Raw genomic sequence first — 25,255 nt, forward strand, 5'->3', positions numbered from 1 at the left:
TTTAAAAATTCTCTCAGAAAGCATATACATTTGCAAAGATTAATTTGAGAACACCAGAACCATGTAGCATCATGTGACAATTTAGAAAGTGTGATGCTTGCAGCTTTGCTCTTCTTTATCTAGATTGCTTTAGCTATACCTGACAGGGAATCATCTTCCATCCTGATGGAAGTAGTGCAACACTGTGCTTACGGCACTTTCTGCTGAATTTGACCACCACAATATCCAAAATTTTTGATGTGTGTTTAAACTGAGTAATTTTTAATTAGTGTATAGATATTTAAAAGGAGTTCATTTCTTCTTCACTTCATTCATTGCACATAAATTGACAGACGAGTGCATAGATTAAACAAGATGGATAGTGGATGTGTACCAAGAAAAGAGGACCCACATGTGCAGAGGCATAGAGATGTGGGGACCAGGAACACAATGTTCCAAATAGGTAAATATGATTGGATCACTGGGTGCAAATAAGATGATAGAGAAATAAGGCTACCCAAGCATGCAGAAGCCAAGTGAAAATGGGCCTTGCAGGCCATACAAAGGAGTTGAGATTTTTGAGTTTAATAGGGAGCCATTGAAGGATTTCAAATGCACTTTATAAAGATGTATTTTGACAGCAAATATGAAGTATAGACTTGAAGGAGGCAAGATTGGAAACAGGAAGACTAGTTAAGAGGTTATTGCAATAGTCCATAATCCATGCAGAAGTAATGAAGGCCTAAAGCAAGACATAGGGGATAGAGAGAATCAGAGTATCTCCCCTTGAAAAAGAAAGAGTCCAAAGATCTCACTCAGAAAATGCAACTCTTTTCCATGTCCTGTCTCCACAATATATTTGTATGAAAACAAATAAATAATACTAAAATTCTAAACAGCAATTTTATATGTGTATCTTGGGTCTATTCAGAGAACAGTATCCATTGGCATTTGGCCTCTCCAGCAATATCTTACTTTCCTTTTCTATTTTAGATTGGGGGGTACATGTACAGGTTTGTTACATGAATATGTTACGTGATGCTAAAGTCTGGACTTCAACTGAACCTGTCTCCCAGATAGTGAACCAACAGGTAGTTTTTCAAGCTTTCCCTCTTCCCTCCCCTTTTGGAGTCTCCAGTGTCTATTTTTCCCATCTTTACGTCCATATGTACCCAATGTTTCAGCTATATCTTATTCTGTACATACATTTAAGTGTGCAGAGTTCATGAAAATTTCCCCACATTCCTAGGAAAGCTGTTCATGTGGGATAAATATTGAACTACATTTATCTCCTTTCGACCTTTTGGAAACAGAAGATTTCCATTTTCACAATTCCAATTAATCACTTACAATGAATTGAAGCTCCTTTTCTTAACAGATACATCATTTTCCTTTGCTAAAGTTGGTATTTTCTTAGGCATGCAGTGGAAAGACAAATCAGTTGATCTCTTGAGGAAGCATCAGTCACAACTGGTTATTTAAGATTGAGAAGGAAACAACTGATCAGCCCAGGACCTAAAGCCATCTGGGAAATTGGCAGAGTAAAGATCTTCAAAAATCCTTTCCTCCATAAAGGCAATAAAAACAGCAGCAAAATTGACAGAATCAACTTTTTCAGAACTCTGAAACTTAGCCAAAGACTTGCAGCAATCCAAAGAATGTTTAGTCAAGAAAAATAGCTGAAACCTGGTAAGAAGAGCAAGCTTTGTAGCATGTTAAGATGCCAATACTTTTCAAATTGATCTACACATTCAATGCAATCCTTATCAAAATCCCAGCTGGCTTTTTGTGGAAATTGACAAGCTGATCCTAAATTTCATATGTAAATACAAGGGACACTAAATAGCCAAAACAATCTTGGAAAGAACAAAAAAGGAACAAAGTTAGAGGACTCATACTTTCAGATTTCAAAACTCTCTATAAATCTACTGTAATCAAGACTGTGTGGTACTTGTATAGAGATAGACATATAAAACAATGGAATAGAATTAATGGTCTAGAAGTAAACCCATACATTTACAATTAATTTTTGACAAGGGTATCAAGATTATTCATGGGAAAAGGGTCATTTTTTCAACAAATGGTTCTGAAACAAATGGATAGACACATGCAAAAGAAGGAAGTTGGACCCTATCACACACTATATGTAAAATTAACTAAAAATTGATCAATAACTTAAGAGCTGAAACTGTACAACTCTTAGGGAAAAAAGTGAGCATAAATCTTTGTGATTTTGGATTTGACAATTATTTCTTGGTTATGACACCAAAAATGCAGGCAACAAAAGAAAAATTAGGACTTCAAAAGAAAAAATACATAAATTGGACTTCACCTAAATTAGTAACTTTCATGCTTCAAAAAGATACCTTCAAGAAAGTGAAAAGACAGCCCACAGAATGGGAGAGAATTTTTGCAAGTCATATATATGATAAGGAACTTGCATATAAAATATATAAAGAACTCTTATAACTCAATAAAAAGACAAATAGCTCCATTAAAATGGACAAATAATATGAATAGACATTTCTCCAAAAGAGATAAACAAATGTCCCACAAACACATGAAAAGGTGCTGAACATTATTAGTCATCAGGCAAATACAAAGCAAAACCACAACCTAATACTTTACCCCACACTCACTAGCCTGGCTGTAATAGACAGCTAATAAGTGTTGGTGAGGATGTGGAGAAACTGGAACCCTCATACACTGCTGGTGAGAATGTAAAATGATATAGTCACTTTGGAAAACAGTCTAACTAAATATGGAATTACCATATGACCCAGAAATTTCACTCCTAGCTATATACCAAGAGAAATGAAAAGTTAACTTCTTACAAAAACTTGTAAATGATTGCTCATAAAAGCATTATTTGTAATAGCCAAAAAGTGGAAACAACCCAAATTACTGACTCATGACAACTGATCGATGGATAAACAAAATGGGGTATATCCATACAATGGAATATTATTTATCCATAAAAAGGAATAAAGTACTGATTCATGCTACAACATGGATGAACCTTGCAACTATGGTAAGTGAAAGAAGCCAGACACAAAAGGCTACATATTGGATGATTGCATTCATATGAAATATACAGAATGGGTAAATGCATACAGACACAAAGTCAATTAGTGATTTTCAGCAGCTGGTGGGAGAGGCGAACAGGGAGAGGCTACTAATTTGTATGGAGTTTCTTTCTGTGGTGATGAAAATGGTATATATCTCTGCTTTAGATGTTTAGGACTTTCTAGTTGTTAGAATATAACATTAGATACCAGAATTAGGAAATCCAGATGCCTTTCATTGTAAGTCATTTGATTCTATACCAAGATTGATCTGCCATATTCTAAGAATAATTGCTGTCTACCTCTCATATTTCATGGAGAATATTTACAAAGTATATTGGTCACTGATGCTTCTTTTCCCAAACTCATGCCAAAATCTCAAATGTGTCAGGCATGTAGGAGGTAGTCAATAAACGTTATTTACTTTCCCGTCACTATATCAATTTATGTCTGAACCCCTAAGCCTTTAGAAATTACTAGTTTTCCCTAACAGTAGCCATGGAATATGTAAAAAATAAAAAGAATTTAAATAAGGATTAATATTGGGTAATCTGAAAGGAAATGTGAATTCTAGTGAAAATCAGATATCTCCTTAATCACTCAATAGCATTATGTAACTCTCTTGCTCACAACCTCAGTCTTGGCAAGTATTAGGACACGAACTCTCCAGAGTTGTCCCAAGAACAGTAGGTCCCAGAAAAAGAAGAATGACTTGTGACAAGAACCCTGAGGAGTGCCTCAATCTGTTTCCATGATTTATGATCTTCTTACCTCAGTAATGACTCCCACCATTTGGTTCAGACCTACAAGAGGCCATGTCTGATATTTTAGCAGAGAAACAGGCATATACCATCCTAAATCTGTCTTGGGCTCACGAATCACATTGAGCTCACAAATCACCTTTCTTCCCTGCGAAGTTATCGGCTGCTTAATTATAGATAAGTTTGCATCTGTGGCCAAGAACCCAGGCCAGGTTTTATAAAACCTGAACTGTCTCCCAGTTTCCAAGGACAATCAACATCAAGGAATCTCGCTGCATGACTATAGGGTTGATGAAAGATCCCATTTTTCACAAGTAAAACATTTTCTTAGAATCATGAATAGCTACTGACAATGTCTAATGAAACAACTGATAATACATCTGGGTTTGGGTGAGATGGGAAGAAAACCAAAGCCAAAGGGGACCTATAAAAATCACTTCCTGGCTGGGTGCGGTGGCTCATGCCTATAATCCTGGCAGTTTGGGAGGCCGAGGTGAACAGATCAGTTGAAGCCAGGAGTCCAAGACCGGTCTGGGCAATGTGGTGAAACGCTGTCTCTACTAAAAATACAAAAAAATTTAGCTGGGCCTGGTGGCACACACCCGTAGTCCCAGCTACTTGGAAGGCTGAGGCAGGATAATCGCTTGAACTGGGAGGTGGAGGTTGCAGTGAGCCAAAACCCTGCCACTGCACTCCAGCCTGGGTTACAGAGTGAGACTTTTTTGGCATGGCCCTGTAAACGGTAGAGAAGAGGACTGAATGACTCTCAAGATTCTTCAACTTCCCATATTGTAAAATTCAATGTTTGAGGAATTTTGTGTAATTATTATTTTTATAGCTAATATGTACAAGTTGTACAAAACATAAAAGATTCAAAGGGGTCCTATAGAAAAAAGTCTCTATCCATCCATTTTCTTTAATCATCGAATTTTTTTTTTTGACACAGAGTTTCACTCTTGTTGCCCAGGCTGGAGTGCAATGGCGTGATCTTAGCTCACCACAACGTCCACCTCACAGGTTCAAGCGATTCTCCTCCCTCAGCCTCCCAAGTAGCTGGGATTACAGGCATGCACCACCACTACTGGCTAATTTTGTATTTTTAGTAGAGACAGGGTTTCTCCATGTTGGTCAGGCTGGTCTTGAACTCCCAACCTCAGGTGATCTGCCCGTCTTGGCCTCCTAAAGTGCTGGGATTGTAGATGTGAGCCACTGCGCCCGGCCTAGTCATCAAATTTCTTATCCCAGGGGGAATGTTGCCAGGCACTGTTCTAGGTCCTGAGGATAAAGCCATGAACAAAATAGAGTCCCTGTCCTCAATGAGCTTACATTCTAGCATGAAGAGAAACAAAATAGCTTTGGGTATGACAAAAATAAAATAGCCTGAGAAGGAGCAGCTTTGAGGTAGGAGAAAAACCAGATGAGTATGGTTTCATAAAACTTAGAAAAGATGAGGATTTCAAGAATGAGGGAGTTGTCAGCCACGTCAAATGCTGTAGAAAGGTCAAGTGAGATAGCAACAAAGTGTTGACTATTGGCCCGCCAAGTAATGGTGATTGGTGACCTTGCCAATTGTTTCAGTGAACTGGTACAATCAAAAGCTCAATTGAAATGGGCTGAGGAGGGGATATAAAAATTACAACTAATCCGCTGGAGGAATATTGATTTAAAAATATGTGAGAGAAGCAGCAGAGCCCAGGTAATGGGAAATGTGCATCAAGGGGAGTTTTTCTTAAAATGTATTATATTAAGGCATGTTTATATGCACATGAAATAATCTAAAAGAAAAAGAAATTAATTCAGGAAAGAAAGAAGATCATTTCAAAAATAAAGTCCTTGAGAAGGTAAGAGGGGATAGGAACAGGGCACAAGAGGAGGGCTTGGCCTTAGGTAGAAGCAGGGATACTCCTTCCATTTTAACATCCTTTCAGAGGATCTACACACACACACACACACACACACACACACACACATATAGATATGAATAGGTATATATACATCTTTTTTTAATTTTTTTTTTTTTTGAGACAGAGTCTTGCTCTGTCGCCCAGGCTGGAGTGCAGTGGCGCTATCTCATCTCGCTGCAACCTCCACCTCCTGGGTACAAGTGATTCTCCTGCCTCAGCCTCCTGAGTAGCTGAGATTACAGGCATGTGCCACAATGCTCGCTAATTTTTGTATTTTTAGTAGAGACAGGGTTTCACCATGTTGGCCAGGCTGGTCTCGAATACCTGACCTCAGGCGATTCATCCGCCTCAGCCTCCCAAAGTGCTGAGATTACAGGCGTGAGCCACCACATCTGGCATATATATATCTATATAGCTATCTATATAGATATATATATAGAGAGAGATTTTTTTTTGAGACAGAGTCTTACTCTGCCACCAGGCTGGAGCACAGTGGCATGATCTCAGCTCACGGCAACCTTCGCCTCCTGGGTTCAAGTGATTTCCCTGCCTCAGCCTCCCGAGTAGCTGAGATTACAGGCACCCGCCACCACCCCTGGCTAACTTTTTTGTATTTTAGTAGAGATGGGGTTTCACCATGTTGGCCAGCATGGTCTTGATCTCCTGACCTCATGATCTGCCCACCTTGGCTTCCCAAAGTGCTGGGATTACAGGCGTGAGCCACTGCACCTGGCCCTATTTATGTATTTATATATATAGCAAATAACAACATGCTCTATGTAGTGTTTTGCATCTTGTTTTAAAAAAAACTTAACAGTATATCTAAGTACACATTTACAGACTTTCTCATTTTGACTGCTGTATAGTGTTGTCTTTTATTGCTACACCATAATTTACTTCTAATCCTCTACTAGTAAACATTGTCTGTTTCCAGTGTTTTTCTATTGCAAACAATGCTTTAATGAACATCTTTGTACAGAGGTGCTAGTGTGTCTGCAGAATAAATTACTAGAAATGGACTTGTTAGCTCAAATAGTATAAACATTTTTAATTTTGAAAGCTATTACCAAATTGTTCCTAATTTATACCAATTTATAACCCCAAACATATATTAGAGTCCCTGTTTCTGCCTCATCCACTCAGTGTTAAGCAGACTTTAATATTTCTCAGTCTGACAGGTGAAAAATTGTGTCTCAGGGCCTTAATTTGCATTTATCTTGTTACAAATGAGGTTTGGCATTATTTTATGTTTAAAATTCATTCATGTTTCCTTTTCTGTGTACTTTCTGTACATCTGCCTATTTTTCTATTGTTATTGGTCTTTTTCTTTAATATGTATAAGCTCTATACATTAATAATTTAGAGTTTTGTTATATATATTGTAAATATTTTCCAAATTTGTTGCATGTGTTTGTACTTTTACATGTATCAGATTTTATAAACTTATGCAGCATATGTAGTCTTGTTGTCTATTGTGTGGTTTGTATATTTTCGGAGTCGATTATGTGAGTCCACATAGTCTATTGACCTCTTCCTATATGGCTTCTGAGTTTGGAGTTATGCTTAAAAGTCCTACTGAACTCCAAAATTATAAGAAAAAGATATTTATTTTTAAGTCTAAATCTTTGATCTATGTGAGATTTATTCTTACTAAGAAATAAGTTAGGAATCCAACCTTCTTTTTTTTTTTTTTTGAGATGCAGTTTCGCTTTTGTTGCCCAGGCTGGAGAGCAATGGCCCTATCTCAGCTCACTGCAGCCTCCATCTCCCAGGTTCAAGCAATTCTCCTGCTTCAGCCTCCCGGGTAGCTGGAATTACAGGTATGCATCGCCATACCTGGCTAATTTTGTATTTTTAGTACAGACGGGGTTTCACCATGTTGGCCAGGCTGCTCTTGAACTCCTGACCTCAGGTGATCCACCTACCTCAGCCTCCCAAAGTACGGGGATCACAGGCATGAGCCACTGCACCCAGCCCCAACTTAATATTTTTTATGTATCCAGATTCCCAGTGCCATTTATATAATGCCATCTTAATCGCTGACTAAGTTCCTGACCATGCCAAGGGAGAAGTGGTTAAAGAAAAAGAATATGCATTCAAATATTTGTTAAATGAGAATAGAAAAATTCATGAGCAATGGAACATCGGGAATGGGAAATTTGTAAAAAATTAGTTGGCAAAGACTTTGCTCCTGACTTGTAGTCTTTCTTTCTGACCCAATTTACACTGTTGTCTTGGATGACTAAACTGTTCATGTTGAAGACCCATCCAGCGACTTAGCTTTGCAGTGTCTTCACCTTGATTCCAGTGATTTTCGTCTTCACTCCATCCCCTTGTGCCCCCGGCTACATTCTGGTTTTCATTGTCATCAGGAGCTATTCAATTTCTGAAATATGAAACTCAAGCATCCTGCTTTCTAACAACAACTTCCCATTCTTCTGGCTCTTTAGCTCCCTTATCACCACCACACGTCTTCACCCATCCATATGTGGGTCCTTTCACCTTTCTGACTTCTCTCAGCAGCTTTTCCTGCATTTCCCTTCATTTTCTCTCCAGCCATTCTAACCACTCTGGTCAGCTCTGAATTCCTTATTCTTTTTGTCTTTTTCTCTACCCATGGGTCAAAACATAATCCTGGATTGATGTGAATCTGCCTTCACCATTCATACAGGCAAGATACCACATACTATTGGGGAAAAATCATACTCTATGCAAACTGGTGCCACTACAAATTAATGATTCCATTGCTTTCAAGAGTAAGTCCAAGTTCCTCTGCAAAATATACAGGGAAGGCCCTTCACAATCCAGCTCCAAGTCCCATTTGTTCTACTTCTCTTTCCACTCACCCTCACAACCTATCCTCTGAGAACAACCCCCCTTGCTTTTGAATAAGCTGCTCCCTTTGCCTAAAGTGGCTTTCCTCTTCCCCTTCCTCTGGCTAATTCAGCTTAGGGCATCATCTCCAGGAAACTGCTACCAACTCTACCTCATCTGTCTGGATTTTGTGTTCTTTTTGGTTCCACCAGATTCCATGCTACCCTTTTTGAAAACTGATCATGCTTTATTGGAGAAGGCTGTTTAAATGACTGCCTCCCTAGAGAGGAGTGGATCTCAAAGCTCAGAATGCATAAGCATCAGGCAGAAAGCTGATTTTTATTAGGCCTTAGGTTGAATCCAGGAAATCTGAATTTCAGCAAGCACACCAAGTGGTACTGATGCTGGTGGTTCTGGGACTACTCTTTGAGAAACAGCAAATATGAGCTCTTGGATGCCAGGGGAATATTCTCAAACAGGTTTTTCTTTCCTGTGCTAAGCAGAATGCCTGATAAATGTCAATAAATGTTTTCTTCAATAAATAATTATTAAAAGGGTTATCATGTGCCAGGAACACACCCAGAGTCTAGGGTACAGACACAGTATTCACTTTCATGGAGCCTACAGGGGCCACGTTTGTTGACTGAATGAAGGAGATTCAGATATCAAACAGATACTATGACAAACCTTAAAAGTCACTTCTGTCAAACCTTATAAAACCCTATAAAATAAAGAAATGTGATTTTTTTTCCTCTGAAGCTGTAACTAAGTCCTAGTAGCAAGACTGCCCTGGAATACTACTAGGTAATGGTTTTAAGAGTGTGGACTCTGAAAACTTGGGATTAAATCTTAGCTCAAAAACTTAGAAATGTGCAATCTCTGAACCTCAGCTTTCTCAGCATAATATGGGGTTAAAGTAACATGCGTTAATTTAACTGGTAATTATTGAACTCCTCCTATGTGCTAACTCACTATTAGGCACTGGAGACATGCAATAAATCTAGACAAACTCCCATGGCTGTGCAGCTTACAGCCTAGTAAGGGAGACAGACAAACAAACAAACAGGTGGCACAGATATTTAAAGTTAATAAGTGCTCTGAAAGAAACATGCGGGTGGAGAGCATAACTGTAGGTAGGGGTGGTAAGGGGACACTTTGGATGGTGTGGTCAAGAAAGGCCACTCTAGGGAAGTGACATTAACTTGAAGTCTGAAGATTAAGAAGAACCCACTCTATAAGGGTGGCATGGAAGAAGAGCTTTCCAGGTAGCGTGAACAGCAGCTGCAAAGGTCCTGAGATTGGATTGTCTGAGGAACAGAAAGGAGGCTTACATGGCCACCATGAAGTGATCAACAGAGATGGTGGCCGGGGACGAGAAGGTGGTGGTAGCAGACAGAAGCTACATCACATCAGGCTTCTAGGTCACAATGGGGAGTTAGGATATTATTCTAGAAGCACCATGAGAACACTGACATAATCTTGAACTAACTGTGTGGTGTTTTGGAAGCATAGAGAAGAGAAGCTCCCAAGAAAAACACAGTGAGTGGTGTCAAACACTGACAAAATATTAAGGATGGAGTAAGATGTAGGGATGTGTCTACTATTAATAGATTTGCCAACATAAGAAAGTTGGTGACTTTAAGAATGGAGGGTAAAGATAGGAGCTTGATTATAATGGGTGGAATAATCAATGGGAAATGAGATGATGTTAGACAACTCCAGAGATTTTGCTGTGAGTGGGCAGAAAAAGGAGACAGTAGCTGGAATATTGTTGCACAGGTTAAATGAAATAGCCCCTCTGACATGCTGAGCCCAGTGCCTGTCACATAGTAAGCACATCCCTATTCTTAATATTATGTTTCCTATCCTTAGTCCCTTGTATGTCCATTCAAAGTTCATTTTTTCCTAAAAATGTTTTCAAACTGTGATTATCTTATTTGAGTCCTGGGAACGTACATGGTGACTCAGAGGGTCATCCACAGTTGTGAATGACTGTATCTTTGGCCACTACAGATAAAAGTTACTTTTTCAGGAATTGTAAATGGAAGGGTTTTGTGTTTTAAGTGGCCTGTCAGAGTGCATTTGGTGCTGGCAGGATGCGGTGAGATGACAGCTCATTTCAGCCTGAAAGAGTGCTTTGGGGGTGCTGCCAGGCACATAACATCAGGCAGTAAGTGATCTTTCTCCTTTTTCTCTCTGCAGCTCCTGTTGCAGCTTCATTTTGATTATAGCACAGATGTAAGAGCACCCAGTGAATTCGTGGTCTCCAGATGGGTTTTCTGGCATCTCCATATCTCCCTGTGATAATTTGGGAGGGTTGATGTTTGTGGGTTTGTGATTTGTTTGTTTTTGGTCTTTCATTTGCTCAGTGTCTGCCAAATAGACACATTTCCCCAGTTTTCACTATTTAGGAGCACTTAAACCACCAAAGATTAGCCACAGTGGCAAAATAATAAAGCTATTGGTTTAATCTACAATCAAGGTAAACTAGCGGAAGGCAAAGATGACTAAATGGTTTTTGTCCTGAAGTCACTGTAGTGCCTTTCCTCAGAGTGCCAGCTCACTCCCCGAGACATCGATACATGTTTGTGTCAAGACCTGGGCATATGTGCAGCATATAAGCCCTGTTAAAGCGTCAGTTAACCCCAGCTTCTCAGTACGTGCATCTGTTTGTAGCTGGTTGATTAGCTATTGGTCTGGAAAGACAACATTTCTCTCCTCTTCAAGGACACAGGATCAGAACGGACCCTTTTGTTTTTCTTCCTGCCAGCTGAAAGGGAGCATACTGAGGCTTCTCTTCTTGGACTTCTTGCCTCTCAAAGTCTTCCCTTGTTGTTTCTTTAGAATAGTCTCTCTTTCCAAAGAAACTTGGTGTATATTGATAATATATCCTATGTATTTGTGACTTCAACAGTCATTGCCTTGCATTGCCATATAGGTGTTCTATGTATGTGTTTTATTTTGCCAACTATAATTGTGAGCCCCTTACACTTATTTGAATTCCCTCCAGTTAGGTACATAATATAGACACTCTGTAAATATTTTTAAATTAGTTTTAATACATTGTTCTACCCTCAAGGATCTTAGAGTTTCACTGGGGAAGCAAGGGATACTCAGGTGAAACAGTTCAATAACAGAGCAAAGCAACAATAATTCAGTGCCAAATGTGGAAATGTAGACCCAAGAGGTACAATGCTAAGGATGTCAGAGGAAAGTCACCTAGCTGGGCCATTCTGAGAAGGCTCCTAGTTGCCTGTAACAGTTGTTACTTGTTCTAAGAGAATAAGTCAGTAGCTGCTTTCAGAGTTGGCCTGGTTTTACAAATGAATCTAGCTATCAGAGTAGCATTACTGCAATTGTCATTTTGTCCTTTGCATACTGATATCTCTGCTTCCCCAAAGGGATTTATTCTACAGACAAGACCAGCTCCTGGCCCCTAGAAATACCACAGCGAAGTTTACTTCTGTCCTCTTTTCCCACTCTCCAAAGCCCTTTCATCATTTGTATTTTTTTTAAACTTCTGTTTCTATGAAAAGATTTATCTTTATGGTTCAGCTCTCTAAAAGAAAGAGCTGATAGCATGAGAATGGGCATAGCGAGGATGCATATGCCTTCCTGCACTGCTTTCTGGGTGCTGCACTTGTGCTTTTAATCCTGCTGCTGTCAAGCTCCATTAGGAGATTTGAGCATCAGCCTCCTACCTTTGGGATCTGGCCTTCCATCAGTCCTGGCCAAAATGAGGACAGCGTTTGAGATAGGTAATCAAAAAGAAAGACAGGTTAGGTATCACAAAGAGCCCCATCCTAATTCACTATCCTGATGTCACAGTCACCTTACACATCACACAGGGGCATTTATCCTCCCACTTGCAAGCACTGAGTGCCATTAGGGGAAGCCATCCGAATGCCACGTGCTGGCATCCATACAGTGATTTAAAACAGCAGAAGATGAAGGCTAAGAAATGATTTCCTCTTTCTGGGAACGTAGGACGGTGCAGAAGGAGGAGAACCCCCGATCCCCACCCAAGGAAGCAAAGTTACTCAGACCAATCCTGGTGATCATGGGGTGACAGATGTTACAGCCTTCACATCTGGCCTCTTTTGTAGCTTTGGTGAGTCAGAAGCAACACTTAGACTCTTGCCTTAGAGGACTGGCAGTAAGTTTCTTGGAAAGTAAAGGCCCCCTAAGTGACACCCCCTTTCTCTGCATTTGATATAAAGTAGAAACTAGTCCATGGGAAGACTCAGAAGGAGGTGTTTATGTCTCTGTAGCTGAAATTAACGCCTTTGTTGTCATCGGTAGAAAATACTAACTGCTCAGCTATGCAAGTTATTGTGCTGGATCTAAAACCAGAATCTATATATTTTTTGTGAGCTCTTAAAGCTCTTTTCTTAAAACTTTTTATATGCAAAAAAGCACTCTTTTATGTACAAAATAGCTTTTTTCTTAAGGTTCTTTTTGTGAAAAAAGGCACTAATTTGCATTCAGCAAATCTTGAAAACTACATGAGCAACAACAATAAATAGATGGCATACAAAGCTCAAAATCAGTGTTGGTAGGGAAAACAACAGGAAAGAATATGAGTGCCAATTCTATCTGGTGCCCACAGCTAATTGTTAGAGTAAACGCTTTTTCTTTTAGGAAAGCCCAAGGTTTACACAGAGGTTTCTCTGCTGAGCCAGGTACTTACTTTGGAATTTTTATTTATTTTTTATTTAATAATTTGTATTTAATTTGGAATTAAAATGAATTTGCAAAAGAGAAAGTTATATATCAGCACCTACAATTAGTTTTTGGTGATACAAACCTGATACATTTTTTGAAAAGGTTAATTGTGCTTTCTTCGTTAGGTTTAAGCAAAGATTTTTCTAGTATTGAGTATACAGTCAGGGGACAAATATATTTCATATTGGAGGGTTAAAACAAATTGAGACAGGATGACCTGGGAAGAGAGAAGGTATATAGATTTATGAGGTAATATACCATGAAAAGCTACAAATGTGAGTTTGGATGTGGAGTAGCAGAGGAAGAAGTGAAGTAGCTGTAAATGGCCAGATGACAGCGAACAAACCATTTCTGATGTGAGAGCCTCAGAGAGCAATACTGAATTCAGTACAAGGATTTAGCGTTCTTCTCTAGATAGCGATCATAACAGTACTGAAAGCAACCGGAATGAAATTTCCACAGGAAATAGAGCAGTTTGCTCCATAAGGCATGAAATATGAATCAACAAGTAAATTTATGTGATAGATTTTTAACGATAACTTCCAGTATAGGAAGAAAATGTTGACTTGTGATGCCCACCTTGAGCTAAATAAATAATGCTCGGGACTGAGGCCGTCCCAGCAAGACTAAGCATTGCCAAACTGCAGGGTTTGGAACAACCCCTCATAACTCCCTTGTGTCTTCATGTAGCCTGTTTATTACTAGAATACCATTTTTCTCCCTCGTGCCCATTTACCTGTTTATAAATACATTAAAGTCATATTTGCAAAAGGCAAATATTACATCATTGTAAAAGGCAAATATTACATCATTGTAGAGGGCAAATATTACATCCTTGAAAGCAAAGTGAGACCACAGTGCCAACAACCAAGTTCTAGGTCTATTCAGATATTTTTGCATAATCTTGAGTCAGCCAGCTATATACTCTATCCCCATGTGTAAAATGGGCTAATAATCCCAGGTCTCATAAACCCACAGAAGGTCGCAACCATGTGAATTAATTGTCGAATATGGTATTGTGCTGAGAAAGTTAAATATGGAAGCTTGCCTATTTCCGGTAGCTAAAAACAGACCAAAGGCCAACAAATTCTATTTTGTTAAATCATTCTTCTTCGACTTAAGGTTTTACAGCAATTGCAGGAATCACTTACAGAGGTTTCAAATCTGAATAAGAAATTGCTCCTTTCTCATTTACTACATTACCCCATAGCTGTTTTGTGACTTTTTGTTCAAGAACAGATTCATCCTTAAATATCTTCTGGTGACCCATGCCAAAACAGAAATTGGATGTGAACTTTGTTTTATATGGAAACGTAGATGCGCTAAAGCTCTTTGGTGCTGGGCAAAGCTTTTTTCAGTGTGGGCACTGTTACTATGTCCCCACAGAACCACACATGTTTTTTGACCCTCAGTTTGCTGTACCAATTACTTTAACTCAGTCATGACAAAGTACACCATGCCCAGCCAGCACATTGTTTTTTAATGAGTAATATTCATACCCTCCCAAGATAAGAGACTGACCACATTGGATCTTGAGAGCAGCTGTGCTGGTTATAAATGATTGTTTAGGCAGGATGCGGTGGCTCACACCTGCAATTCCAGCACTTTAGGAGGATGAGGCAGGTGAATCACTTGAGCTCAGGGGCGGAGACCAACCTGGGCAACATGGCGAAACCCTGTCTCTACTAAAAATACAAAAATTAGCCAGGCGTGGTGGTGCGTGCTTGTAGTCCCAGCTGCACAGGAGGCTGAGGCAGGAGAATCGCTTGAACCCGGGAGGTGGAGGTTGCAGTGAGCTGAGATCGCACCACTACACTCCAGCCTGGGCAACAGAGTGAGACTCTGCCTCAAAAAAAAAAAAAAAAAAAAAAAAAAGATTGTTTACATGATTGTTAGTCTCATGCATCAGCGGTTCTGGAGATGAGGGCAGGTGACAGGAGCCATAAGAGAGGATGTGGACAGAGACCTGCTCAGAAAGGCCACCTACAGAGTGAAAGTAAAAAGGGATTCTTGGCTGGTAATGTGAATATGAAGCACATACCGAGGCGGCAGGGACCAGGACAACTCTCAATATTTTTTAAAGCTATCATGTATTGCATTCTCACTATGCTTAGGGCATGGTGCCTAGCATCCCCCACATGTACAACCTTAATACATAGGGAGTATTTATTTCCCTTTTTGCAACTGAGGTACTAAGGCTTAGAAAGATTAACTTCCCTGAGAAAGGATCCAAACCCAGTTTGTCTGATTATAAGGTTCAAGCTGTTAATCATTTTAATCATTTGCCTATTGACCATATTATCTGTTTTTGCAGTATGATTATTTGAAATGCAAATTAAATAATTCCTGGTTCCCAAGAAATGACTATAAAACACAAAATCTTGTCTCAAGAGAGGATAGATGCTTCACTTGTATTAGGGAGACCAGGAAAGGGAGGAAATTATGAAAAACATGTAAAGCTAAATAAATACAAGATAAAATTAAGACCCTCACAGAGGTAGCATGCTCTGTTCCTTATATAATTGATGATACCTTAACAGAATCCTAATTCCAAGGCCTTGTGAGACAGTGACGCTCCCCTCATCCCCCATAATTTATGGGAGTTCTCAGAACTCAGCACTCAAATTTCTGTCTCTGTGCTCCTGTATCCACACGTGCTACCTCTCTTCTGACCCACTTCAAAACAGGCACAAAGACAACTCCCTCCACCTGGTCCCACACATCCACAAATTCACTCACCAGAATGCATGCTGTTAGTAGAGAAACTTTGCTGAAGGCTTGGGAGAAGGTCACAGGAAGGGGTGACATGATGATGCTCAAAGTCTTCTCCCCATATCCCTGTATCCACTGTCGTCTTATCTTCCTCCTTGTTCCTCCTATCCCAGGAATAACAGTTTTCCTCTTGCCTCATGGAGAACGATTTTTTGAAAATCAATTTACCCCTAATTTTAGAAAGGTAAATTGGTGTGTTCCTGTTTATTAGCACAACACACCCCAATAGTGTCTGGAGCAGCAAACGCATCAATGTTTTTGCAGCAAAATGAATAAATATTGACACCAAGTGAGGTGAATAAAGGCTTAGATAGCCTCACTTTAGTTTCAAATTGGCCACAAAATCAGATCAACTCAGCTCAAATGTTGCACTCAACAGATCTTTTTTAAACTTTGACTGTCAGAAATTTTTGAAATTCAAGTTGTAAATAAGAGACTGTAGACCTATATAGGAGAACACCACTGAGCCAGGCTTAATAATCTGGCTCCTGACTAGAGAAAGCTGTCATCTTAATCATTGACTAAACAGTACTTGACATCTTTAAAAAGAAAAACTTGAATGCCAGATGGCAGACTTGGCCAAATGGAAGAAATTAAACGAATACTCCTTTTTTTTATATCTGTCTTAGTCTGTTCAGGCTGCCATAATAATACCAATCAATAAAAACATAGAAATTTATTTCTCACCGTTCCATAAGCTGGGAAGTCCTAAATCAAGGTAGCAGCAGGCTCCGTTTCTGGTGGAGGCCCACTTCCTGATTCATGGATGATTCCTTCTTGCTGTGTCCTCACGTGCTGGATGGGACTAATGAGCTCCTCGGGGGTCTCTATTTTAAGGGTGCTAATCCCATTCACCTAATCACCTGCCAAAGGCCCCACCTCCAAATACCATCACCTTGGGGGTTAGAATTTCAACATAGAATTTAGGTAGGGGGTACATAAACATAAACATTCAGTCCATTGCAGTATTTCAGGAAGCTTCCACCAGATGAACCTGTCTTCAAGTAAAAAGAATCCCACCCCCACCAATTATACTGCCAACATAAAATACATTGGAAGAAAGGACTGGCCTCATTAGGTAAGAGAGGAAGAGCTGTTTCAATTGGCCAGGGAGACTAGGTTGACATTTGAGTTTTAGGCCATTCCTGTTATGTGATGTGGCCTCTGTCTGAATGGTCCTTTGAGTTTATATTAAAAGTTAAAACAAAAAAAGTTTATATTAGAACTTACTGAGCTAGAATGCACCTGACAAAGGGGTGGGTAATTACGTTTTTCCTTGATGTAGCTCTGTAAATCTTTAGTAAAAAGGCAGTTTTCACTCAAAATAAGTCCCCCCAGATTAAACAATAACAATAACAGACAAGCAACTGATTTTGTTTCTGAAAAAGGTAGATTAAATAATTCAGACCCATACTCCTGAAGGGCAAGCTAAAGATAACTAAAAAGATTGGATAAAATATGTTTAAAATCTTCTTAAAAGCATCAAAGAGCTAATACGTTAATAAGAAGTTACTAGTTTTAAGCCCCAAGAAAAGGCAGAAATCAGAAGAAATGAGCCTTGTATTCAGTGTCACTGGGATTATTTGGCAATCCTGGTTAGAGGTCAAAAGTTGGAGTTCATGGCTCACCAAAGGTATGGATGTTGCTAAACCACCTTCTGCTTTGAGTTGGAACCGTAAAGGAGTTACATTCTTTTTTTTTTTTTTTTTTTTTTTTTTGAGACGGAGTCTCGTTGTGTCGCCCAGGCTGGAGTGCAGTGGTGTGATCTCCACTCACCGCAAGCTCTGCCTCCCGGGTTCACGCCATTCTCCTGTCTCAGCCTCCTGAGTAGCTGGGACTACAGGCGCCCGCCACCAAGCCCGGCTAATTTTTTGTATTTATAGTAGAGACGGGGTTTCACCGTGTTAGCCAGGATGATCTCCATCTCCTGACCTCGTGATCAGCCCACCTCGGCCTCCCAAAGTGCTGGGATAACAGGCGTGAGCCACCGCCCCCAGCCGAAAGAGCTACATTCTAAGACAGGGTGGATGGGAAGTGGAGCAGCACTCGCACTTGCATGGGCTGGATTTGGTGACTCGCTGTCAACTGATCTTTAGCGAAAGTACCAAGTCTATACAATGGGAAAAGGAGAGTCTCTTCAATAAATGGGGCTGGGAAAAGTGGATAGCCACATGTAAAATAATGAAATTGAACCCATTATCTTACACCATACACAAAATGTTAACTCAAAATGAATTAAAGGCTGAAGTGTAAGACCTGAAACTATAAAACTCCTAGAAGAAAACGTAGGGAAAAATCTTCCTGATACTGGTTTTGGCAATGATTTCTTGGATGTGACACCAAAAGCAAAGGTCACAAAAGCAAGAACAGACAAGTAGGACTACATTAAACGAAAAAGCTTCTACACAGCGAAGAAAACAATCAGTGGCATGAAAAGGTAACCTTGGAAAGAGAAAATATTTACAAACCATATATTTGATAAGGGTTAATATCTGAACTATACAAGAAATTAATACAACTCAGTGACAAAAAAAAAAAATAACCCAACTAAAAATGGACAAAGAACCTGAATAAACATTTCTCCAAAGAAGGCATACAAATGGCCAAATGGTATATAAAAAAGTGTTCAACACACTAATCATGGGAGAAATGCAAATCAGAACTATATTGAGATATCATCTCAAACCTGTTAGGGTGGTGCTGTTCTCAAAAAGTCAAAAGGTGGGCCAGGCATGGTGGCTTACTCCTGTAATCCCAGCACTTTGGAAGGCCAAGGCGGGTGGATCACGAAGTCAGGAGTTCGAGACCAACTTGGCCAAGATGGTGAAACCCCATCTCTACTAAAAATACAAAAAAAAAATTAGCCAGGCGCGGTGGCAGCCTGTAATCCCAGCTACTTGGGAGGCTGAGGCAGAAGAATCACTTGAACCCAGGAGGCAGAGGTTGCAGTGAGCAGAGATTGCACCACTGCACTCTAGCCTGGGTGACAAAGCAAGACTCAGTCTCAAAAAAAAAGAAAAAAGAAAAAAAAAGTCAAAAGGTAACAAGTATTGGCATTGCTGTGGAGAAATTGGAACCTTTGTACACTGTTGGTTGGAATGTAAAATGGTACAGCTGCTGCGGTAAATAATATGACATTTCCTCAAATTTTAAATTTTTTCCTCAAAAAATTTAAAATTGAAAACCATATGATCCAGTAATCCCACTTCTGATATATATCTAAAAAATCAGTATCTCAAAGAGATACCTGCACTCCCATGTTCATTGCAGCATTATCACAATAGCCAAGGTATCAAAACAACCCAAATGTCCACTGACATGTAAGGAGAAAAATGTATTGTATATAAATACAAGGAAATATTATCACCCTTATAAAAGAAGGAAATCCTGCTATTTGTGACAACATGGATGAACCTGAAGGAGATGATGCTAAGTGAAAATAAGCCTGTTAGAAGAGGAAAAATATTGCATAATTCCACTTACATAAGGTATCTAAAATAGTAACTCACAGAAGCAGAAAATAAATAGTGGTTTCCAAGTAGCTGGGAGAAAGGAGGAAATGAAGAGTTGTTGTTCAATGGCTATACAGTTTCAGTTATACAAGATGAATAAATTCCAGAGATCTGCCATACAACATAATGCCTATAGTTAACAATGCTGGACTGTGCACTTAGAAGTTTGTTCAGAGGGTAGATCTCATGTTAAGTGTTCTTACAACAACGAACGCCCCATCAAAAAAGACCAAAAAGCAGCTGGGCGCGGTGGCTCACACCTGTAATCCCAGCACTTTGGGAGGCCGAGGCGGGCAGATCACAAGGTCAGGAGATCAAGACCATCGTGGCTAACACGGTGAAACTCCGTCTCTACTAAAAATACAAAAAATTAGCTGGGCGTGGTGGCAGGCGCCTGTAGTCCCAGCTACTCGGGAGGCTGAGGCAGGAGAATGGCATGAACCTGGGAGGCAGAGCTTGCAGAGAGTGGAGATCGCACCACTACACTCCAGCCTGGGCAACACAGTGAGACTCTGTCTCAAAAAAAAAAAAAATCCTTAAAAAGCGAAGAGATGCAAGGAAACTTTTAGAGGTGATGCCTATGTGTATCACCTTGATTTGTAGTGATGGTTTCGCAGTATGTCCAAACTCATTAGATTGAATACGTTAAATAGGTGCAGTTTACATGGATGAGCTTGGAGGACATTAGGTTAAGTTAAATAAGCCAGGCACAGAGTGATAAATCTGCATGTTCTTGGCACATGTGGAATCTATAAAAGTTGGTATCATAGAAGTGGAGAGGAAGGGAAGGGGAATAGGGAGAGGGGATGACCAAAGGCTGGTTAACAGATACAAAAGTACAGCTAAGTAGAAGGCATAAATTCTAGTGCTCTGTAGCACTTTAGGGTGAGAATTAATTGTATATTTTCAAATAGCTAGAAGAGTGGATTTTGAATGTTCCCAACACAAAGAAATGATAAATGTGTGAGGTGATGTATTTGCTAATTACCCTGATTTGATCATTGCACATTATATACTTGTATCAAAGTATCACATTGTACTCCATGAATATGTACAATTATTACATGTCAATTTAAAATAATAATAAAAGCAAAAATATCACAAAAATATGTAGTTTTTTGTATCAATTATACCTCAATAAAGCTGTGTTTAAAAAATCTAAAAACCAAGAATTTAGCAATATGTGAAAAGATTTATACACTTTGACCAAGTAGGCTTTATTCCAGGAATGCAAAGCTGGTTCAACTTTCAAAAATCAATGCAATCCACCATATTAAAAGGCTAAAAAAAGAAAAAATCACATGGCTATACAAACTAATGTAAAAGCATTTGACAAAATTCAACACCCATTTATGACAAAATTCTCAGAAAAATACAAATAGAAGGCAAATTAGATACCTATAGCTAATCTATAATTAATCATGAAAGACTGAATGCTTTCTCCCTAATTTATATCAAAATATCAATGAGAATTTTTGTATTAATAGATATAGAGGAGATTATTCTAATATTTAAACAGAAAGGCAAAGGAACTAGAAGAGCTAAAACAATTTTGAATAGAAGGAATAAAGTGGGCAGAATCAGACTACCCAGTTTCAAGATTTATTATATAGCTTCAGTAATCAAGACTGTATGGTATTGGTGGAGGGATAGACACATAGATCAATGGAATGGAATAGAGAATCCAAAAATAAACCCACACAACTATGCCCAGCTGATTCTTGACAAAGGTGCAAAAGCAATTAAATGGTTAACAAATGATGCCAGAGCAACTGGACCTTATTAGGCAAGAAGAAGAAGGAGAAGAAGGAGAAGGAGAAGGAGCTGCTCAACCTAGCCCTCACATCTTATACAAAAATTAACTTATGATGGATTACCAACAGAACATGAAACAGAAAAAAAAAAAATTGGAGAAAACCTTTGGGGTTTAGGGCTAGCCAGAAAGTTCTTAGTCTTGACACCAACAACATGCTCCATAATAGAAAAAATAGTAAAATTAGACCTTATCAAAATTTAAAAATTTCTCTACAAAGTGCATGTAAAGAGGATGAAAAGACTGGGGGAAAATACTTGCAAGCCACAGATCTGAAAAAGGACCAGGATCTAGACCAAGGTTGTCCAACTCATGGCCCACTGGCCACAAGCCTCCCAGGATGGTTTTGAATGCGGCCCAACACAAATTTTTAAACTTTCTTAAAACATTATGAGAATTGTTTTGTGATTTTTTTTTTAGCTCATCAGCTGTTGTTAGTGTTTTTTATTTTATATTTTATATGTGGCCCAAGGCAATTCTTCTTCTTCCAATGTGGCCCAGAGAAGCCAAAAGACTGGACACCCCTTATCTAGACTATATAGAGAACTCTGAAAATTCAACAGTCAAAAAGACAAAACAATCCAATTAGCAAATGACCAAAAGACGTAAACAGAGATTTCACCAAAGATTGCATATAGGTGGAAATAAGGATGGCAAGTAAGCACGAGCCCCTGAAGACGTCTGACATCAGTAGTCATTAGAGGAATGGAATTTAAAATCACAATGACACATCATTATACATGTATAAGAATGGGTGAAAGTTTTAAAATATTGACAACACCAAATCCTGCCAAGGTTGTGGAGAAGCTGGATCATTCATATGTTCCTTGTTGGGATGTAAAATGGTACAATTGCTCTAGAAAACAGGCTGGCAGTCTCTTTAACAACTAAGCATGTGACTACCATACGATCTAGCAATAGTTGCCCTGGGCATTTACCTTACAAACTAGAAATAGTTCTCCTGGGCATTTATCCCAGAGATATGAAAATGTATGCTCACTTGTAAACCTGTAAACAAATGTTTGTGGCAACTTTATTTGGTTTTTGTTGTTGTTGTTGTTGTTGTTGTTGAGACGTCTTGCTCTGTTCTCCCAAGCTGAAGTGCGGTGGTTCAATCCTAGCTTACTGCAGCCTCCAACTCCTGGGTTCAAGGGATCCTCCCCCTTTAGCCTCTTGTGTAGCTGGGACTTCAGGTGTGTGCAGCCACACCCAGCTAATTTTTCATTTTTTTATGTAGAGACAGGGTCTCACTATGTTGCCTAGCCAGTCTGGAACTACTGGGCTCAAGCAATCCTCCCACCTCAGCCAACTTAATTTGTAATACCCCTGAAACTGGGGAAAAAACCCTAAATGTCCTTCATTAAGTGAATGGTTAAACAAGCTGGTGGTACATGCATACCATGAAATACTACAAGAAAAAGGAACAAAATACTGATACAACAACCTGCAACTCAGGTTGCTGCGTGGGAAAAAATTCAAAAGGTTACATATATTGATACGAAAGGATACAAATGATTTCATTTAAATAACATTCTTGAAATCACAAAATGTACCATTTTACATTTTGGAAATGGGAAACAGGTAAGTGGTTTCAAGAGATTAGAGATGGGGAAGGATGCACAGGGGAAACAGGTGTGGCTACGAAAGGGCAATATGAGGGATCTTGCGGTGGTGGAAATGTTGTGTATCTTGACTGTGTCAATGTCAATATCCTAATTATGATATTTTACTATAGTTTTTGCAAGATATTACCAATGAGGGAAACTGGGTGAAGGGTACTTGCAATCTCTCTGTATTATTTCTTACAATTGCCTACAAATCTACAATTATCTCAAAATGAAAGTTCTAATTTAAAAAGCGACTCTTGATCAAAAGATACCATTAAATGAGTAGAAGATACTTGCAGTCTCTAACTGACCAAGGCATGGTAGCAGCTAGACTTTATAAACAGCTTTTATGAATCAATAAGAAAAAGTCAGCTCAAAAAAATGGGCAAACATTTGAACAGGCACTCAGAAAACAGAAAACTCAAGTAGCCTATAAACATATGTAGAAGTGCCCAATTTCATTGGTAATTAGGGATATGAAACGAAGATCACAGTGAGACACCATTACATCTCCGCCAGACTGGCAAAACATAAGAAGTCTAATAATATTATATTTTGGCAAGGATGCGGAGCAATGGCAATTACCGTACATCTCTGATGGGAGTCTAAATTTTGTGGCCACTTTGGAAAACAATTTGGCATGATCTAATAAAACTAAATATATGCATACCCTATAGTCCAGTAATTTCACCCCAAGGTATACATCCTAAAGATTGCACTTGCATACCAGGAGATATACACAAAAATGTCATTAGCAATAGCACTTGTAATAGCCCCAATGGGAAAAACCCAAATATCTAAAGTGCCAGAATGGACAAAGAAATTGTGATATGTCCATACAAGGGAATATTAAGTAGCAATGAAAATGAATGAACTACAACTACATGCCACAAAAGTAGATGACTCTTACAACCAAATGGAAGAAGAGGCCAGGCACACACAAAAATATGCATGCAATATTATTCAATTTATAGAAAGTTCAAAACCAAGCAAAACTAAACTGTAGTGGTTAGGGATACATTACAAATTGGTAGAAACTATAAAGATACGTAAGGAAGTAATTACCATAAAGTCAGGATAGTTGCTTTAGGGGGAAGGGAAGGACTTGTGGAAGGGAATTGGTGGAGCAGGGGAACCTCTGGGGTGGTAGCAATGACCTGGGTGGTGTTTGGTTTATGATTCATTAGGCTATGAAGGTACGTTGTTTTCACTTTTCTGTGTTACAGTTTATAACAAAATCACACGTCCTCTTCATATTTCATTGTTTTGCCTTTGAGATGAGGAAGAATGTAGGCACGAGCCTTAACTGTGCTGAGAAAAGACGGCACATGAAAATCTGAGCTCAAAATGTAAAACCTGTGAGTAGAGTTAGAGTAAAAAGTGGAGTGTGCTGCAACAACAGTAGACTTGCTGGAATGATGAGGTGGTGGCTTGCCTTGGGATTTTTGTTTTTTAACAGTGTATTAGGAATAATAAGGTTGCTCCAGGTGCTAAATTTCTTACTCCCCTTCTTTAGAAGTTGGACCTAGGCTGAGGGTCCACAGTTTTTAAATGTTTTGGAGTTTTCTGTTTTTGTTTTTCAAATGGATTCCCTGATCACCTTTGCCTTGAATCCCCAGAACTAACCTGCCTAAGAAGAGAGGAAAACTGTTGATGTAGTGGGAACGCTCCCTCCTCGAGCATTAACCGGGTTGACCCCACCCCTCTGTCCTCGCTGTCTTCAGTCCAATCAAGATCGGAAAGCAGGATCAAGAGAAAGATGATCAGACCGGAACAGGTAAACGTTCCATATAGAGATGCTTCGGAAGTGCGGAGAAGTGACAGCTTATCCCCTCTCAGGCCGTCATGTTCTCTCAGCAGACCCTCTGAATTACTGATGTCAGAACTTATTGGCTGGGCTACAGCACATAAGCAACTCCTAGAGTTTTAAGACATTAAAAGAAGGTGATTTCAGACAAGAAATCTAGCGCACCATTCAGGTTTCTCCTCGTGTCGAGGCATTGCTTCTCTCCCTTCCTGCCTCTTCCTGCCAGACTTCACCGTCACAGCTCTAATCACACCCTGACTGATCTGATCCCGCCCTGCCACGAGGCCCGGGTACCCCTCAGCGGCGGGGACATCCAGGTGTCCCTGGATTTCCAGGGCACAGTGCGGGCCGGAAATAGGAACACAGAGGAGCCCTTCGGGAGGCTCTCGAGGCAGTCTCTTTCCAGTGGATAGCGACACACCCTGGTCCCTAAGATTCTCATGCTCTCCGAATTTTCCGTCCTGGACCCGATCTGTAGGGCGCAAAGTCCCCTGTA

At 39.5% G+C, this 25,255-nt stretch overlaps 1 protein-coding gene and 2 long non-coding RNA genes across 9 annotated transcripts in view; 2 read left to right on the plus strand and 1 right to left on the minus strand.

Annotated features, from left to right (window-relative positions):
• LOC105371635 (uncharacterized) overlaps window positions 1-12,277 on the minus strand; it is a 39,520-nt gene extending 27,243 nt beyond the window's left edge. For both annotated transcript variants that reach the window (XR_922329.3, XR_922328.2), the window contains exon 1: window positions 12,225-12,277. This is a non-coding gene — a long non-coding RNA (uncharacterized LOC105371635). The remainder of the gene's footprint in view (window positions 1-12,224) is intronic.
• The window catches only part of FAM163A (family with sequence similarity 163 member A), an 88,423-nt gene continuing 73,160 nt past the window's right edge, over window positions 9,993-25,255 (plus strand). For 4 of the 6 annotated variants that reach the window (NR_138088.2, NR_138087.2, NM_001329714.2 and 1 more), the window contains exons 1-2: window positions 9,993-10,062; window positions 24,572-24,729. The gene's annotated coding sequence lies outside the window, so the exon portion shown is untranslated. Of the gene's footprint in view, window positions 10,063-12,404; window positions 12,635-24,571; window positions 24,730-25,255 lie in introns of those variants that run through there. The other 2 variants (NM_001329715.2, NM_001329716.2) reach the window with 2 other exon arrangements.
• On the plus strand, window positions 12,405-24,914 carry LOC128071543 (uncharacterized). The gene is made up of 2 exons (NR_138090.2): window positions 12,405-12,634; window positions 24,572-24,914. It is a non-coding gene; the product is annotated as an uncharacterized LOC128071543 (long non-coding RNA).

Source organism: Homo sapiens, chromosome 1 (assembly GCF_000001405.40).
Source record: "Homo sapiens chromosome 1, GRCh38.p14 Primary Assembly".
NCBI lineage: Eukaryota > Metazoa > Chordata > Mammalia > Primates > Hominidae > Homo > Homo sapiens.